At 59.3% G+C, this 16,188-nt stretch overlaps 1 pseudogene across 1 annotated transcript in view, besides 2 other annotated features; it reads left to right on the forward strand.

The window, feature by feature from the left end:
- SSPOP (SCO-spondin, pseudogene) overlaps positions 1 to 16,188 on the forward strand; it is a 57,924-nt pseudogene that overhangs the window by 16,947 nt on the left and 24,789 nt on the right. Inside the window, exons 38-61 of the transcript NR_163594.1 lie at positions 322 to 475; positions 578 to 632; positions 1,806 to 1,910; positions 2,223 to 2,441; positions 2,551 to 2,678; positions 3,383 to 3,527; positions 3,608 to 3,758; positions 4,284 to 4,356; positions 5,080 to 5,137; positions 6,846 to 7,016; positions 7,299 to 7,442; positions 8,749 to 8,967; positions 9,052 to 9,216; positions 9,959 to 10,138; positions 10,239 to 10,361; positions 10,487 to 10,616; positions 10,700 to 10,825; positions 11,008 to 11,099; positions 12,423 to 12,596; positions 12,906 to 13,070; positions 13,747 to 14,003; positions 15,270 to 15,316; positions 15,496 to 15,666; positions 16,054 to 16,184. The product of NR_163594.1 is annotated as an SCO-spondin, pseudogene (transcript). The remainder of the gene's footprint in view (positions 1 to 321; positions 476 to 577; positions 633 to 1,805; positions 1,911 to 2,222; positions 2,442 to 2,550; positions 2,679 to 3,382; positions 3,528 to 3,607; positions 3,759 to 4,283; positions 4,357 to 5,079; positions 5,138 to 6,845; positions 7,017 to 7,298; positions 7,443 to 8,748; positions 8,968 to 9,051; positions 9,217 to 9,958; positions 10,139 to 10,238; positions 10,362 to 10,486; positions 10,617 to 10,699; positions 10,826 to 11,007; positions 11,100 to 12,422; positions 12,597 to 12,905; positions 13,071 to 13,746; positions 14,004 to 15,269; positions 15,317 to 15,495; positions 15,667 to 16,053; positions 16,185 to 16,188) is intronic.
- Positions 6,837 to 7,338: an enhancer, noted in NCBI's record as "H3K4me1 hESC enhancer chr7:149496913-149497414 (GRCh37/hg19 assembly coordinates)". NCBI's record gives its function as "activates a minimal SCP1, AML or CMV promoter by ChIP-STARR-seq in naive H9 embryonic stem cells {active_cell/tissue: H9 hESC(naive)}" and the evidence as "EXISTENCE:reporter gene assay evidence [ECO:0000049][PMID:30033119]".
- Positions 7,339 to 7,838: an enhancer, noted in NCBI's record as "H3K4me1 hESC enhancer chr7:149497415-149497914 (GRCh37/hg19 assembly coordinates)". NCBI's record gives its function as "activates a minimal SCP1, AML or CMV promoter by ChIP-STARR-seq in naive H9 embryonic stem cells {active_cell/tissue: H9 hESC(naive)}" and the evidence as "EXISTENCE:reporter gene assay evidence [ECO:0000049][PMID:30033119]".

Below are 16,188 nucleotides of genomic sequence, written 5' to 3' on the forward strand. Positions count from 1 at the left end.
TCAGCTTGAATTCCTGGGCTGAGGCTTGCGGGGGGCTCTTGCCATAGCTGCCTCCCCAGCCCCCTCTGGGACCCACGGCGCTGGCTGCAGTGCTGGTACAAATTGCTTCCCTGGCCTTCTTCTGGGCCAGTTGCAATGTCTCAGGTGTAGGGGCAGAGTGGGCTGATAGGGTGACCAAATGTCTCAGTTTGCCCAGGACTTCCTCAGTTTTATCACAGAAAGTCCCAAGTCCTGGGAAAGTCCTCAGTCCAGGCGAACCAGGAGAGTTGTTTACCCCAAGCAAGCCCCGTCACCAGGCCAGGGACATCCCTCCCTTCTCAGGTGCCAGACGGAGCCCTGTGAGGGGTGTGAGCATCAGGGCCAGGTCCACCGTGTCGGGGAACGCTGGCATGGGGGCCCCTGCAGGGTGTGCCAGTGTCTGCACAACCTCACCGCACACTGCTCACCCTACTGCCCGCTCGGCAGCTGCCCCCAGGTGAGGGCACTGGAGTGTGTGGTGGGCAGAGCTGGAGGGGATGGGGAGGCTGGTGGAATGGGTTGGAGATAGGCAGGCGGCCTGACCTCTGTGCCTCTGCAGGGCTGGGTCTTGGTGGAGGGGACGGGAGAATCATGCTGCCACTGTGCCCTACCTGGTGAGTGTGCCTGGGGCATGACAGGGAAGTCCCAGGGGGAGGACAATCGGCAGGGTCTCTGAGAGGGAACCAGGGGCACTGAGCGGGGGTGGCTGGATACCCCAGCCTCAGGGTGGCAGGAAGCCTGAGTTCTGCATGCCAAGGGAAGGAGGGGACCTCGGGGTGCGAAGGCTTCTCTCTGCCCTCCCTCTCCGTCCGCCCTGCCTTCCTGTGCTTTGGGGGCTTTCTGCCTCCCCCATGGTGCCACCTTTGAGGTGCTCTCTTTCCTCTGTTTCTGCTCAGATCTGGTTGCTCTGGTTGCTTTTCTTTCCCTCTTAGAATAGCCAAGACAAAGTTAAGTTGGACTTTTCAAAAGTATCTTTGCCTGGAAAGGAGTTATAAGTGAAACGGGAAAATACAAAGGCTTGAAATGGATGCATTTATGGGTCCAGGTTTTCCGTCTTGTCTTGTCTTGTCCTGTCCTGTCCTGTCCTGTCCTGTCCTGTCCTGTCCTGTCCTGTCTCCTCTTCTTTTCTTTCTGACAGGGTCTCACTCTGACCCCCAGGCTGGAGTGTAGTGGTGTGATCTCGGCTCACTGCAACCTCTGCTTCCTGGCTTCAAGCGATTCTTATGCTTCATCCTCCCGAGTAGCTGGGGTTAGACATGCACCACCATGCCCAGCTAATTTTTGTATTTTTAGCAGAGACAGAGTTTTGCCATGTTGATCAGGCTGCCCCATTCTTATCCTAAAAGTGCATCCACAGGTTGCTGAGGTTAAAACAGAACCAGCATACTCAGCTGCACAGGTTGTTCACTGTACAAGTTAGCTGGTGATTGGGACCCAGACTCCAGCCCACAGAGCTGCTTTCATCCAGAGGCAGCCCCTTTCTAATGCCCATGAAGGTGCCTTTTTGGTGTCAGCACCCCTGGATTAGGAACTGCAGTTGCTGGGTCCTGGGCTGAAAGTAGTTTCAGGCTGGCAGTTTTACTCTATGTTCTCTAAATATTCAGTAGATGTGAAAGCCCCCAATTCACACCAAGGGAAGGAGGAGGGACCTTTCCCAGCTAGGAGGTTGTTCCTGGGAAGTCAGCAGGGAGAAAATGCTCTAAGAAGTGGGGAGAGGCCTGAGTGCTGGGCTGGGGACTGTGAGCCTCTCGGTCTCTGTCTCCTGACCCTGAAGTCTCCTCCCACAGGAGAGAACCAGACGGTCCAGCCCATGGCCACTCCTGCCGCAGCTCCGGCTCCCAGTCCCCAGATCAGATTCCCTTTGGCCACTTACATTCTGCCTCCGTCAGGAGGTAAGGGCCATGTGCTATGGAGTGCAGTGCTGAGAGGGGCCATGCTGCCCAGGGGTTGTCCAACCTGGGAGGGGAAACAGGCCCTCGGGGACATCCTCCTTGCCCTGCACACTGTGGATGGTTGTCCTAAGGATCTGGGAGTCATCCTATCTTAAGTTGCCTCTCTTGACTCTTCCCTCCCTGGGCTAAAGTCACCCATGTGGACGTTTCACATCCCCTAGCTCCCCATGCGACTTCCTAACCGTGTCCCTGCAGGCTCCTGCCGCCCTCTGTCCTCCCCTACTCCAGCCTGTCTCTCTCTTCTGCACCCAGACCCCTGCTATTCTCCCCTGGGGCTGGCCGGACTGGCTGAGGGGAGTCTGCATGCATCGTCCCAGCAGCTGGAACACCCCACCCAGGCTGCCCTCCTGGGGGCTCCCACCCAGGGGCCCAGCCCTCAGGGATGGCACGCTGGAGGGGATGCTTATGCCAAGTGGCACACTCGGCCCCATTACCTGCAGCTGGACCTGCTTCAGCCTCGGAACCTCACTGGTCAGTGAGGAGGGCAGTGCTTGAGGGGGAGGCAGTGATGATGGGCGGGGGGCCGGTGTAGCTCCTTCAGCTCTGACCTCTGCTCTTGCCCTGGCCCCTCCCTCCCCAGGCATCCTAGTGCCGGAGACTGGCTCCTCCAACGCATATGCCAGCAGCTTCTCACTCCAGTTCAGCAGCAATGGTCTACACTGGCATGACTATCGTGACCTCCTGCCTGGCATCTTGCCCCTGCCCAAGGTATCACCCGCCCAAGGCCGATGGGGCCAGCAGCCCACCATGCCCTTTTGTGGGTTCCATAGTCTTTGTCCCCAAGGGCCTTCCAGTGTCCCCGAGGGGCATGGCCTGCATTCGATGCTTGTTGAATACCTGGTGAGTAGCAGGGACTGTGCTCTGTGGAGCCGAGGCTTGGGTGCCACTGTCACATGGATGCTGGAAACCATCCAAGTGGCTCAGACTCAGGGCAGGTATGTGAAGCCTGCAAGGGAGAGAGGATGGGGAGACACCAAGTTCACTGAGGGCCTCCGGGAGCCCAGACCCACGCACGTCTTCGTGGAGAGCAGCCTGGGCACAGCCCTGCCCTCAGGGGGTTTGCATCCTTCCCGGAGACAAACCGCACGAAGCGGTAGGAATCAGTCCGTGCTGTGTTAAGTCTTAACTGTTTCAGGAGCACCTGCTCTGTGCCAGGTGCCGAGCCAGGCCCTGGGGACACAGCAGTGAACAGGACCTGGCCTTTGCCCTAGGGGCACCTCCAGCTTAGCGAGAGGAGCTCAGTCCAGGACCAGCCCCCTCCAGCCTTGAGAGGCCCAAATGCCTACTGCCAGGGTGGGGGGCATGGCTCTGGGAGGGGCCGTGAAAACTGGGGAAAAAGTGGGGTCACTCAAAGTCATGAGGTCAGCCTGAAAAAGAGGTGAAGCTCAGTCATCCGCATCCTCTGCTGGCAGCTTTTCCCCAGAAACTGGGATGACCTGGACCCTGCCGTATGGACTTTCGGCCGCATGGTGCAGGCGAGGTTTGTCAGGGTGTGGCCCCACGATGTCCACCACAGCGATGTCCCCCTGCAGGTGGAGCTGCTGGGCTGCGAGCCAGGTACAGGTTGCGCAGGGGTGGGCAGGGCAGGAGAGAGAGGGGCCATGGGAGGAGCCCTCAGCCATACGTCCTCCACACAGGGTCCCCACCGGCACCTCTGTGCCCAGGGGTTGGACTCCGCTGTGCCAGTGGTGAGTGTGTCCTGAGAGGGGGCCCTTGTGACGGTGTTCTGGACTGCGAGGATGGCTCGGATGAGGAGGGCTGTGTGTTGCTGCCTGAGGGCACTGGCAGGTATACTGTGGCCGGCCGTGCAGCTCACGCCCTTGGCCTGGCCTTTGAGGGGACAGCCATGTGGGAGGGGCCCGGCACTGCCTTCACCCCCAAGGTGCCCAGACCCTGCATGCTGAGGAGCTGCAGCCGGGTGCCTTCAAGGCCCTTTCCCACCTGGATTCTAGGATTCCCTGCCTTTCTCATAGTTGAGTCAGGGGTTCTCCAGGTGTGGGCCCTGGACCAGCAGCATCGGCAGCACCTGGAGCTTGTTAGAAGGGCAGGTTCTCGGGCCCGCCCAGACCTGCAGGGGTGGGGTGCAGCAATGTGTGTCTTACAAGCCCCTCAGGTGATTCTAACCCATGGTCAAGTTGGGAGCTACTGTTGGGAACATCGCCTTTGTCCAGCCTCAGTGGGCAGAGTCCTTCCTGAATGCTCACTCCCGCAAAGACCCCAGGCCCAGCAAAAGCACACTGACGCCCCTGCCTGGAAGGGGGGCACTGGTGCTGGGAGGGCCCCTGGAGTCCTTTTGGCTATTTTTCTCCCCAGATTCCATTCCACAGCCAAGACCCTGGCCCTCTCCTCTGCCCAGCCGGGGCAGCTGCTGCACTGGCCCAGGGAGGTGAGTGTAGAGCCTTGGGCCCAGAGGGTGGAGTGGGGGGACGGGGACCTCGCCTCACAGCCTCACCAGCCCTGCTCCTGCACCAGCTGGCGGCGTCTCCCCTCTCCGCAGCATTTCCTCCTGTGTGTTCCCTGGTACTGCTCTCAGGAGCCTTGCCGGTGCCTGGCTGCAGAGACGTGCAGGCAGAGCGAGGGCCCAGAGGGGTTTGGGGACAAGAGAAGCCTGCACCCCTGATAGGGAGCTTATGCCCACGGGGCAGGCACCAGGGCATCTGGTGCTCAGAGCCGAAAAGAGCCCTGTGCCCGGGTCCCCAGGGGCTTCCCGGACAAGACTTGAGGGCTGGAGAGGGGTGTCTATAGTGTGGAGAAGGCGCGGAGCACCTTCCCACCTGGAATGGCCTGGTCAGCAACCCAGAGTGTGTGGGTGGGGTAGGGGGTAGGGGGTGGACATGTGCATTGGGTGGGGGAAGGGGAGTTTGAGGGGCAAGAGCTGAAATGGATCACCCTGGTGGGCTGCTGAGAATAAGGTCCCTGAGCTCCTTGAGGGCAGTGGGCTGGTGCCTGGAAGCGCAGTTGCGTGCTCAGCTCTGCCCTGGGCTGCGGGGGAGGAAGATGGACAGGAAGCAGTGCTGGGACTGTGAGCGCCCAGGCTGTATCCTCAGGGGATGGGAGCTGCCCTCAGGGCCGGGGGCTGTGCAGGGTGCTGAGCCCTCTCCCTCTGCAGGGCCTGGCAGAGACTGAGCACTGGCCCCCTGGGCAGGAATCCCCCACGTCCCCGACAGGTGTGTGCACAGACTCCAGGCCTCCTCCCCAAACTCTTGTCCCACCTGTTCTTCCAGAGCCAGGGGCCGTTACATCTCAGGGGTTCAAATCCCATGACCCCTGACTTCCCCACAACCAAGAGAGTCACGGGGTTGGCTCAGGGAGGAGACACTGGTCACTTTGGACATGGCCAGGTCCTGCCCCTGCCCACCCCCTGGGATTCCAAGGTATGTGGCTGTAGGTTGGCGGGGCAGGTAGCTCCAGGCCAGCTCCCAGGACTGAGCCTGTGCCCTGTAATGTGGCTGCCTCTCCAGATGCCTGGTCAGGACAGGTCTCCCCCATGGGGGTGGGAGGCCACTTGGCTCCAGCCTGCACTCTCTCTGCTCACCATCCATGGAGCCAGGCCCCCCTTTCTGAAGCGTTTGCTGGCATCAAATGTCTCTTAAGTGGGCACGGGGGTTGGATGTGGTCACCAAGTTGGCATGCTCCTATATAAGGAAGGAAGAGGCTCTGCCTGGTTGTGAACCGGCCTCCCTGGAGCTACCTGATTATTCACCTGTGTGCTAGCCAGCAGAGAGCTGCCTCCTGGAGGGCCTGCTGTCCTGCGGGGATGAGGGGGTGGTAAGAGGGCTTTTGGTGTGGGTGAATTCTTGCCCTCATTTCTAGCCCCTATGGGAGGGATCTGGGTGAGGCTTGGGGCAGCAGGGGCTGGAGAGGAAGGAGGGTGAGGGCACCAGGTCTGCTCTTTCATTCTGGCTCATCCTCCCCTGGGCCTCAGCTTTTCCCCATCTGTGACACTAGGAGGCCTTATAGACAACTGTGGCCCCTCCCTGTGAGTTCTGATGGAAGTTATTCAGAACCTGGCCGGACTGTTTCTGTGTCTTTTGTGAAAAGCAGACAAAGCAATTGATGCCACCCCTCAGATCCATAACATGCAGACCCATGGGATACATTATAATTTCATTCTCAGTCTGGTTAAAAAAAAAAAAAAAAGGCTGTCTTTGAATGCATCTCTTGCCAGAAAATGAGACTTTTAACCCTTTTCACTGTAGCTGCCAGGAAGCCCAAAATCAGTTTGTTGTTGTTGTTGTTGTTGTTGTTGTTTGTTTACAACAGAAACAATGAACTCACCCTGGGTCTCTGGTAGTGTTTACTCCCTCTGCTGCTGTGTTAAAATGACCTCAGTTCTTTGTCTCCCTAAATATCGTATTTTATGGTGAGTTTGAACTTGAAAGTTGCCATGTGTTTCTTCTTGGGAATAGAATAAAAATCTCAGATCAAAACAAGTCTTCTACTTTCAGCCAAAGCCCTTCCTGTGCTCCTTGGATTTTTTTGATGCAAGGCCTCTCAGAAGGCATCAATTGCTTTGTCTGCTTTTCACAAAAGACACAGAAACAGTCCGGCCAGGTTCTGAATAACCTCCATCAGAACTCACAGGGAGGGGCCACAGTTGTCTATAAGGCCTCCTAGTGTCACAGATGGGGAAAAGCTGAGGCCCAGGCAGGTGGCACGGTGAGGCCCAGGGGAGGATGAGCCAGAATGAAAGAGCAGCCCTGGCACCCTCACCCTCCTTTCTCTCCAGCCCCTGCTGCCCCAAGCCTGGTCCGCAGCACCTGTGATTTACTCTGCACCACCCAGAAGCCTGGGATACCCTCTCGAGGGCCCCCACCTTCCTTTCCTGGGAAGGGGAGCTGGGCAAGCCTCACCTCCCTCTACCTACACCCACAGAGACAAGGCCCGTGAGTCCTGGCCCAGCCTCCGGGGTGCCTCACCATGGGGAATCTGTGCAGATGGTGACCACCACCCCCATACCCCAGATGGAGGCCAGGACCCTGCCACCAGGTATGGCAGCTGTGACGGTGGTGCCCCCACACCCTGTGACTCCAGCGACCCCTGCTGGTAAGATGCCAAGCCCTTCTACCTGTGTGCAAGGCCTCTGTAAGCCCACCTTCCTTGTGAGGGGGACAGAGGCCCTTTGTTCAAGGTCACACAGCTCAAGGTCATTTTGGGGAGGACTGAGTTTCCTAGCCCAGTTTACCCTTTTTCTATTATCCCAAGATAGGCAGAGTGAGGCATAGCAGATGCCAAGAGGAGGGAGCTTGGGGGCTTCAGGGAGGTGACGAAGGAGAAAGGACAGGGCAGGCCAAGTGACTGGTCAGCCGGCTGTGGTGGTGCCCACAGGCCAGAGCGTCGCCCCAGGACCCTTCCCACCTGTGCAGTGTGGCCCCGGCCAGACGCCCTGTGAGGTGCTGGGCTGCGTGGAACAGGCGCAGGTGTGTGATGGCAGGGAGGATTGCCTCGACGGCTCCGACGAGAGGCACTGCGGTGAGCTGCTGGAGGGCCTGCTGTCCTGTGGGTAGGGGGTGGCACTTATCCTTCAGTGTAGGAAAGTGTCTGCCCTCATTTGTAGCTCATATTGGAAAGGATCTGGGGGAGGCTTGGGCAGCAGGGAATGGAGAAAATGGGTAAAAACAGGAGTGTGTGTGTCTTTGGGGGTGGTCAAGACCGGGAATAGGATAGGCCTTGGGTCTCAGCCTATTTTATAAAACCTGTTTGACCTTTGAAGAGACTCATCTACTCACTCACCCATCCAACATTCTACCTATCCCTCTATCTATCCATCCATCAACCACCCATCCATCCGTCTACCCATCCTCCCATCCACTAATCCACCCACTCACCCACCCATCCATCCATCCACCCACCCACCCACACTCCCACCCCCCACCCCCCACCCCCCACCCCTCTATCCATGTATTCATCAGCCACCTATCAACCATCTGTCTACTCACAAATCTATCCATCAATCCATCCACCCATCCAGCCAGCCACCATGCATCTATCTACCCATCCATCCATCTATTCACCCGTCCATCCATCAATCCATCCATCCATCTCAATCCACCTACCTACCCCTCTATCCATGTACTCATCAGCCACCCATCCATCCATCCATCCACCCACCCATCCATCCACCCATCCATCCATTCATCTATCCACCGACCCCTCTATCCATTCATCTATCAGCCACCCATCCATCCACCCATCCATTCATCCATCCATCCGACACCCACCCATGCATCTATCAGCCACCCATCCATCCACCCATGGATTCATCTACCCACCCCTCTATTCATCCATTCATCAGCTACCCATGCATCCACCTACTCACTCATCTACCCATCCATCCATCCACCCATCCATCCATTCACTCACCTACCCATACACCCATCCATGCATGCATTCATCCACCTATCTATCCACCCATCTATCCATCTACCCACCCATATATCCATCCATTCATTTATTCATCCATCCATCCATGCAAAGTAGATCACTATGATCAAAGCTTAGTCTTCCAATCATGACCAAAGAAATCCAATGTTAATCAGTCACAAGAAGAGCCACCCCAGGGAGTATGCATTCAGGAATAAGGTACCTAAGCATCTAGAATCTCTGTGTGAGAGCTTGTGTAGACCCAAGACTCCATGATCTCACCAACACATAGTGGAAGGAAGCCTGCTCTGGGCATGGGATGCAGGAGGCATCAGGAGGAAGGGGAGGCCAGGGGCTCCAGTCAGCAAGCTCACTTTGGCTCTTGGCTTGAGAAGGGGCTGAGTGTATCATTCAGCCAGGAATCTACTTATGTGGCTCCCTTCTCTCCCTGCCTTGTGGGCAGCGAGCACTGTGCCCTTCATGATGCCTACCATGGCCCTGCCTGGGCTTCCAGCCTCAAGGGCCCTCTGTTCCCCGAGCCAGCTGAGCTGTGGCAGCGGGGAGTGTCTGTCTGCTGAGCGGCGCTGTGACCTGCGGCCTGACTGCCAGGATGGCTCGGACGAGGATGGCTGTGGTATGTGCCAGCCAGGGCAGGGGTAGCCCTGAGGGCCCCCTCCTGCATGAGCCCCTCTGAGCCCCGGCCCCCATGCCCCTGCAGTGGACTGCGTGCTGGCCCCCTGGTCTGTCTGGAGCAGCTGCAGCCGCAGCTGTGGCCTGGGCCTCACCTTCCAGCGCCAGGAGCTGCTGCGGCCTCCTCTGCCAGGGGGCAGCTGCCCGCGTGACCGGTTCCGAAGCCAGTCCTGCTTTGTGCAGGCCTGCCCAGGTAATCCTGCACTCCAGCCTTCCCTCGGGAAAGCCCCTGCTCCCAGAGGGAGGTGGGGAACCCCCCACCCAGTCTCCTCAGGAACCTTCAGGTGTGAAACCTGGGGTGGGTTTCCATCTGAGAGCCTCCCGGCTGGCCCTGCCCTCCTTTCCTACCTGAGCCAAGACTCAGGTTCTTGTGTATAGCCTGGAAATAATGGTCATTCCTGCCTCAGAAGGCACTGGAAGGATTAAGGGAGATGGTGTGTGGGGGTGTTTGGAGCCAGGCCTCATGTGTCAGCCAGCTGTGCCACTTGTCCCTGGGTGCCATGCGGAAGGCCTTGTCACTCTTTTATTCCATCGATCCAAGGGAGTGGCCCTCACCTACTTCTGTGCATGGCAGAGAGGGGCTTCCCACACAGGGGCCTCTTTCAGTCCCACCCTGGCTCCTCCCTGGCTGTGGTGGCCCTACAGCTGCCATCAGGGCTGCTCTCCCCAGGATCCCTGCAGTCCCGGCCCCTTCCCAGGGAGCAGAGCTTTTGTCCTGGGAGGCACCTAGAGCCCTTTCTCCAGGCACCTGCCACCTAGGGGAGGTTTCCTGGGACAGAAGAGGAGCTGTGGAACACCCAGGGCAGGGCCCTTGGCTGCCTCACTGGCTGCTGCCCAGGCCGGGGGAGGAGGGGAGCGCTGGCTCTGGCCACTCTCTCATAGCCTGTGTCTCCTGGACCCCTCCTGGTGGACCCACATGCTACCTTCCCCAACAGTGGCTGGGGCATGGGCCATGTGGGAGGCCTGGGGACCCTGCAGCGTCTCCTGCGGGGGTGGCCATCAGAGTCGCCAGAGAAGCTGTGTGGACCCCCCACCCAAGAATGGCGGTGCCCCCTGCCCCGGGGCCTCCCAAGAGAGGGCACCCTGCGGCTTGCAGCCCTGCTCAGGTGGCACAGGTAAGGGGGTGCTGGGCTGGGGACACGGAGGGAGCACTGTGGGCACGGGGCGATTGGGCCTCCCAGCACCTAGGCTCACCTGGTGCCCATCCCCCACCAGACTGCGAGCTGGGCCGTGTGTATGTGAGTGCCGATCTGTGCCAGAAGGGGCTGGTGCCCCCATGCCCACCCTCCTGCCTGGATCCCAAGGCCAACAGAAGCTGCAGTGGGCATTGTGTGGAAGGTGAGGCAGACCTGGCCTGCAGGGGGACTGTGGGATGCCCACACAGGCCCACCAGCCCCCAGTCTCCAGCCTCCCCTCCCTGCTGTGCCCCTTGGGGCTGAGTGCCCTCTTCCACATACTCCCAGGATGCCGCTGTCCCCCGGGGCTCCTTCTGCATGACACTCGCTGCCTGCCCCTCTCTGAGTGCCCCTGCCTGGTGGGCGAAGAGCTGAAGTGGCCAGGGGTGTCCTTCCTCCTGGGCAACTGCAGCCAATGGTGAGGGCGGCTGCACCAGGGAGGGCACTGTACCGGGGTCTCCCCAGCCCTGACCGGTTCCTCAGCCTCTCCCTCCCCTGCAGCGTGTGTGAGAAGGGGGAGTTGCTGTGCCAACCAGGGGGCTGCCCCCTGCCCTGCGGCTGGTCAGCCTGGTCCTCCTGGGCTCCCTGCGACCGCTCCTGTGGCTCTGGAGTGAGGGCCAGGTTCAGGTGTGCGACAGGGGTGGACGGCAGTGTGAGAAGGAGTGGTGGGGCCCAGGGAGGCGAGGAGCCAGGCCAGCCCTGAGGGGGCGATAGTGGAAAGATGGTGGACAGGGGATGAAGGATGAAGAAGGCGGGAGTGAGGGCAGGGAGAGAGCAGAGCGGGTGCTCAGGGCTGCCTCTCTCCCCAGGTCTCCCTCCAACCCTCCGGCAGCCTGGGGGGGTGCCCCGTGTGAAGGTGACCGGCAGGAACTGCAGGGCTGCCACACAGTGTGTGGGACAGGTATAGCCGGGAGCCTGGGTGCAGGAGTCCCCCCTTCCTCCTCCCAATTCTGTACCCTGAGAACACATGGGATGGGACCCACTGACCACTCTACGTGGGGGATTGGTAACACCTCCGCAGTCTGAGAGGCAGCCCTTGAACTGGCCTCGGTGGAGGGGCTTTGATGGGGAGAGGCAGAGACTCCCGCCCAGACTGCCTGGGCGCCAGGAGCAGGCTGGCCTGGGTGGAGCAGGCAACTGCAGAGCCGGGCGAGAGAGGTGAGGCTGGTGGGTTGAGGGAGGCCAGCAGCAACATTTAGAGGCCAGATGAAGGTGCCAGATGGTTTCCCTCTTTCCACCTACCGGGTGCTTCTCAGACAGTGCCTGTGCCAGTGGAGGTCTCTGCAGAGCAGGCGCAGCCTCACTGTTGTGCAGGGCAATGGGACGAGGTGGGCAATGGGACGAGGTGGGCAATGGGACGAGGTGGGCAATGGGATGAGGTGGGCAAGGGAGAGGTGGGCAATGGGGAAGAAAGAGGAGTGGGGGAGGGGAGGGGGAGAGAGGCAGGGTGCATCCAGGGGGTCTGGGCCAGGCTCTTGCAGTAGGAGGGAAAGAGGGGCCAGTGGAGAGTGGCCGGTGGGACACTGACAGTTTCCACAGGGACTCTTAATCAGTTTCTGGCATAGAAGGATCAGGAAGCGTTGATCTGGGGGAAACATGAGGATTGGTGGTGGTCCTGCTGAGGTGCTGTCCGAGTCCAGGAGAGAGATGTGGGAATGTAGTTGAGCCCAGGTTCACAGGAGGCTCTGTGCCTGGCTCCTGAGGGTGAGAAGTGGGGCTGGAGGCCAGGTGCAGTGGCCCACGCCGATAATTCCAGCACCTTGGGAGGCCAAGGTGGGAGGATTGCTTGAGGCCAGGAGTTCAAGACCAGCCTGGGCAACATAGAGAGACCCCATCTCTTAAAAAAAAAAATTAAAAATGTAGCTGGGCATGGTGGCGCATGCCTGTGGTCCCAGCTCCTCGGGAGGCTGCGATAGGAGATCACGTAAGCTTAGGAGGTAGAGGCTGCAGCAAGCTATAAGCATGCCACTGCACTCCAGCTGACAGATCCTGTCCTCAGCCCCCCAGAAAAGCAGAAAAAAGATGGGGCTGGAGAGTGGGGGTCCCAGCAAGTGAGCTGAGAAGGGGCAGAGGCTGCACCCTGAGCCCAGAGCAGCCTCCCTCCTCCTTGTGAGCCCTCTTCTGCCCACCTAGTTTCTCAGACCTAACCCAGGCTCCTCGACCCTCCCCAGCCCTGCCAGTAAAGGCCTTTGCACAAATGGCCTGTCCTGTTCCCCCTCCACAGAGGTGTTCGGCTGGACGCCCTGGACTTCCTGGTCCTCCTGCTCCCAAAGCTGCCTTGCCCCGGGAGGGGGCCCTGGCTGGCGCAGTCGTTCCCGACTCTGCCCCAGCCCTGGGGATTCATCCTGCCCAGGAGATGCCACCCAGGAGGAGCCCTGCAGCCCCCCTGTATGCCCAGGTATTCTCCCTTGGGCCCAGGGGTGGCTCGGATGCTGGGGTGGGATGAGGAGCAAAGAAGAATGCCCCCTTGAGCCGGTTCTAGACATCTGGGAGGGGCCAAGGGTTGGAGCAAACCTGGCTGTTGTCCTTAAGCCTCTCCCACCCCAGCCATCGCGCAGGAAGCCAGCCTGAGTGGTAGACGTAGGTGGGGGCTGGAGGCTGCAGTTAAGACCCTGCAAGCTACACAGCTCCAGCCACACGATGCCCTATCCTGGACTGTTTCTGCCATGCCGGTGTCTGTGACTCTGGATTGGGCTCTTCCTGGCAGTGCCAAGCATCTGGGGTCTGTGGGCTCCCTGGTCCACTTGCTCAGCCCCCTGTGATGGAGGCATCCAGACACGTGGGCGCAGCTGCTCCAGCTTGGCTCCAGGGGACACCACGTGCCCAGGACCCCACAGTCAGACCAGGGACTGCAACACGCAGCCCTGCACAGGTACCAGACTCCCTGCCTATTTTCCAGCAGGCCTCCCTGGCCCAGCTCCTGGGGATTTTGACCTTTTCCCCACCCTCACCTTCGCCCATCACTGCCCTCTGACTCCAGGCCAGGTAATGCCTGGAGCTAAGGGAGCCTGGGATTTCCTGTGTCTCCTCTAGCTCCCTGCCTCTCCCACCTGCCACTGGGGACCAGGTCCCAGCAGCTGTGGCCCCTCAGCCCTTTGCTCTTCTTTGGTGGAGGCAGGCCTCCTTCCCCAGAGAACAGGCTCCCCGAGGGAGGCAGACTGGCCTTCCTCAGGGCAGAACACACTCAGGGCCAGAATCGTGGGGGAGCAGAGCTCGCACTTTGAAGCCCCTGGCCCCTTCCTTACTCTCCCTTGTCCTCTGAGGGCTCCTCCTATCCCAGATGACTGGAGTCCTCATGGTCTGTTCTCAAGAATATTTGTATTAAAGTAGAGCAAAGCCATGGCTGTGTCCTGGTGCCATCCCAGACACTGGAGCAAAGCTGTGAGGGTAGGGGCAGGAGGGGTGGCTTCTCTGGCACAGTCCTGCCCAGTAGCCTGCCGCCCCATGCCCTGCTTGCAGGTTCCCTTCTGCCCCTCTGCCTCCCTTCCCTTCCCATCCCTTCCCGTCCTTCCTGCCCTTGCTGAGACCTGCTTTGTCTTCCTATCCAGCCCAGTGCCCAGAGAACATGTTGTTCCGCTCAGCAGAGCAGTGTCACCAGGAGGGGGGTCCTTGCCCTCGGCTATGCCTGACGCAGGGCCCCGGGATAGATAGAGTGTACGGGCTTCTGCGCCCCCGGCTGCACCTGCCCCCCTGGTCTTTTCCTGCACAATGCTAGCTGCCTGCCCCGCAGCCAGTGCCCCTGCCAGCTGCACGGGCAGCTCTATGCATCAGGAGCAATGGCTCGCCTGGACTCCTGCAACAACTGGTGGGTCACAGCGTGGGGGCAGTGTGGGAGAGGGGCCGGGGATCTAGAGGTGGGCAGGCGTGGGCTCCCTTTCACAAGCACACCCCGTGGTGGGGTGCTCCGTTCCCCAAACACAACACAGCAGCCACGGGTGCCGGGCAGGGTCCTGAGAATATTAGAGCGAGTGGTCATCCCCATTTGACTTATGGGAATATTGGGTCTCAGATCGATGGAGCGATTTATGATAGAACTAGAGATGGCAGAGGGTCTAACCTCTCATCACAGCTTTCTCTGGTTCTCTTTCCTGAATGTAATTTCATACCTGGGATCCACTTGATTTCTGTTCAGAAACATTCAAGTGCCCAGTACCCAAAGCTGACATCAGGATCTGCCAGCAGAGGGTGCTCCAAGCGATTTCCCTCTTTTTTCTTTTTCTTCACTTCATTTCCTTCATTCTTTTTTTGTTTGTTTGTTTGGTTTTTTTGAGATGGAGTCTCACTCTGTCGCCCAGGCTGGAGTGCAGTGGTGCAATCTCAGCTCACTGCAACCTCCGCCTCTCAGCTCACTGCAACCTCCACTTCCCGGGTTCAAGCAATTCTCCTGCCTCAGCCTCCCTAGTAGCTGGGATGACAGGAACCTACCACCATGCCAGGCTAATTTTTGTATTTTTAGTAGAGACGGGGTTTCACCATTTGGCCAGGCTGGTCTCCAACTCCTGACTTCAAGTGATCCACCTGCCTCAGCCTCCCAAATTGCTGGGATTACAGGCGTGAGCCACCGCGCCCGGGCCATTCTTCATTTCCCTCTTACTTTTTACTTTATATACCCTGCCCCTCCTTCGATTTCCTCCTTCTTTATTCTTCCTCCCGCCTGTGCTTTCTTTCTCACTTTTCGTCTCTCCGATCTTTTTCTGGGACCTCCAGTATTTAATAAATAGGCTTTAAAACATGTATTGGAGAGAACAGCAAGTGTGCAGAAGTACCCAGTTCTCCCTCCTAGGAGAACTCCAGCTGTCTCTAAATCCCTCCTACCTGGCCCTGGCCCTCGAGGTCATTTCCCAATAAATACAAATGGATGAGACCTTGGGACAAAGGACAGCGCAGCGCCTGGGCGCTGTGGGGCTCACTGAGGGTGCATCGTGAACTTCGCAGGGGACCTGGGCAGCAAGCTTCACACCCCAGACCCTCGGGTTTGTCTTCTGCAGTGGTCTCAGCTGCTTCCCTGGGGGTAAGGGCTGACTGTGGCCGTGATGGCCAGGTAAAGCCTCACTACCCCCTTTCTCTGCAGCACCTGTGTCTCTGGTAAGATGGCATGCACCTCGGAGCGCTGCCCAGGTACCCCCATGCTTGGGGCACGGGAATTGGGCAGTGGTGGGTCCTCAGGGACCATAGGGGACTTAGGACCCTCCTGAGTTAAACTCCTGGGAGCTCGGTGGTGCCCAGGGAAGTTAGGGTATGAGAAGACTGACCTGGTTTCACACACACTGCCCTCCGCCCCCAACACGCCCTGGCAGTGGCCTGTGGCTGGAGTCCCTGGACCCTGTGGAGTCTCTGTAGCTGCAGCTGCAACGTGGGCATTCGGCGCCGCTTCCGGGCAGGCACTGCACCCCCAGCTGCCTTTGGGGGTGCTGAGTGCCAAGGCCCCACCATGGAGGCTGAATTCTGCAGCCTGCGGCCATGTCCAGGTGAGAGCTGGGACTGAGGTCCTGAGACCTCCTTAACCTTCCAGAGAGAAGCCAAGAAGACTCCCATCACCCCCCACCCTGAACCTCTAGAAAAGTGCAAGAGACTTCATTAAGAGATGCTGCTAAGAGGTTGTCCCCAGAGACTCCTTGAGGGTCCATTCCCTAACAGGGCCCCTCCTCAGAATAGCCCCAGCTTCTCCCTAGAGACCAGCCCAGTTCTAGGCTGAATCCTGGAGCCCCCCACAAGCAGGTGTGAGGCACCTTAAGTGGGATATGACGCTGCAGGTGAAGCGGTGGAGGGGTCCCCAGGGGTGTCTGGGTGGGAGGAGGAGAAGGTGGGGTGGGCATGGGAGGCAGGGCCTGCAGTGACCTGGGCACCACCCCCAGGTCCTGGTGGGGAGTGGGGCCCTTGGTCTCCGTGCTCCGTGCCCTGTGGTGGTGGCTACAGGAACCGCACCCGAGGCAGCAGCTGCGCAGCCTCATGGAGTTTTCCACCTGTGGCCTGCAGCCCTGCGCAGGTGA

This window comes from Homo sapiens, chromosome 7 (assembly GCF_000001405.40).
Source record: "Homo sapiens chromosome 7, GRCh38.p14 Primary Assembly".
Taxonomy (NCBI): domain Eukaryota; kingdom Metazoa; phylum Chordata; class Mammalia; order Primates; family Hominidae; genus Homo; species Homo sapiens.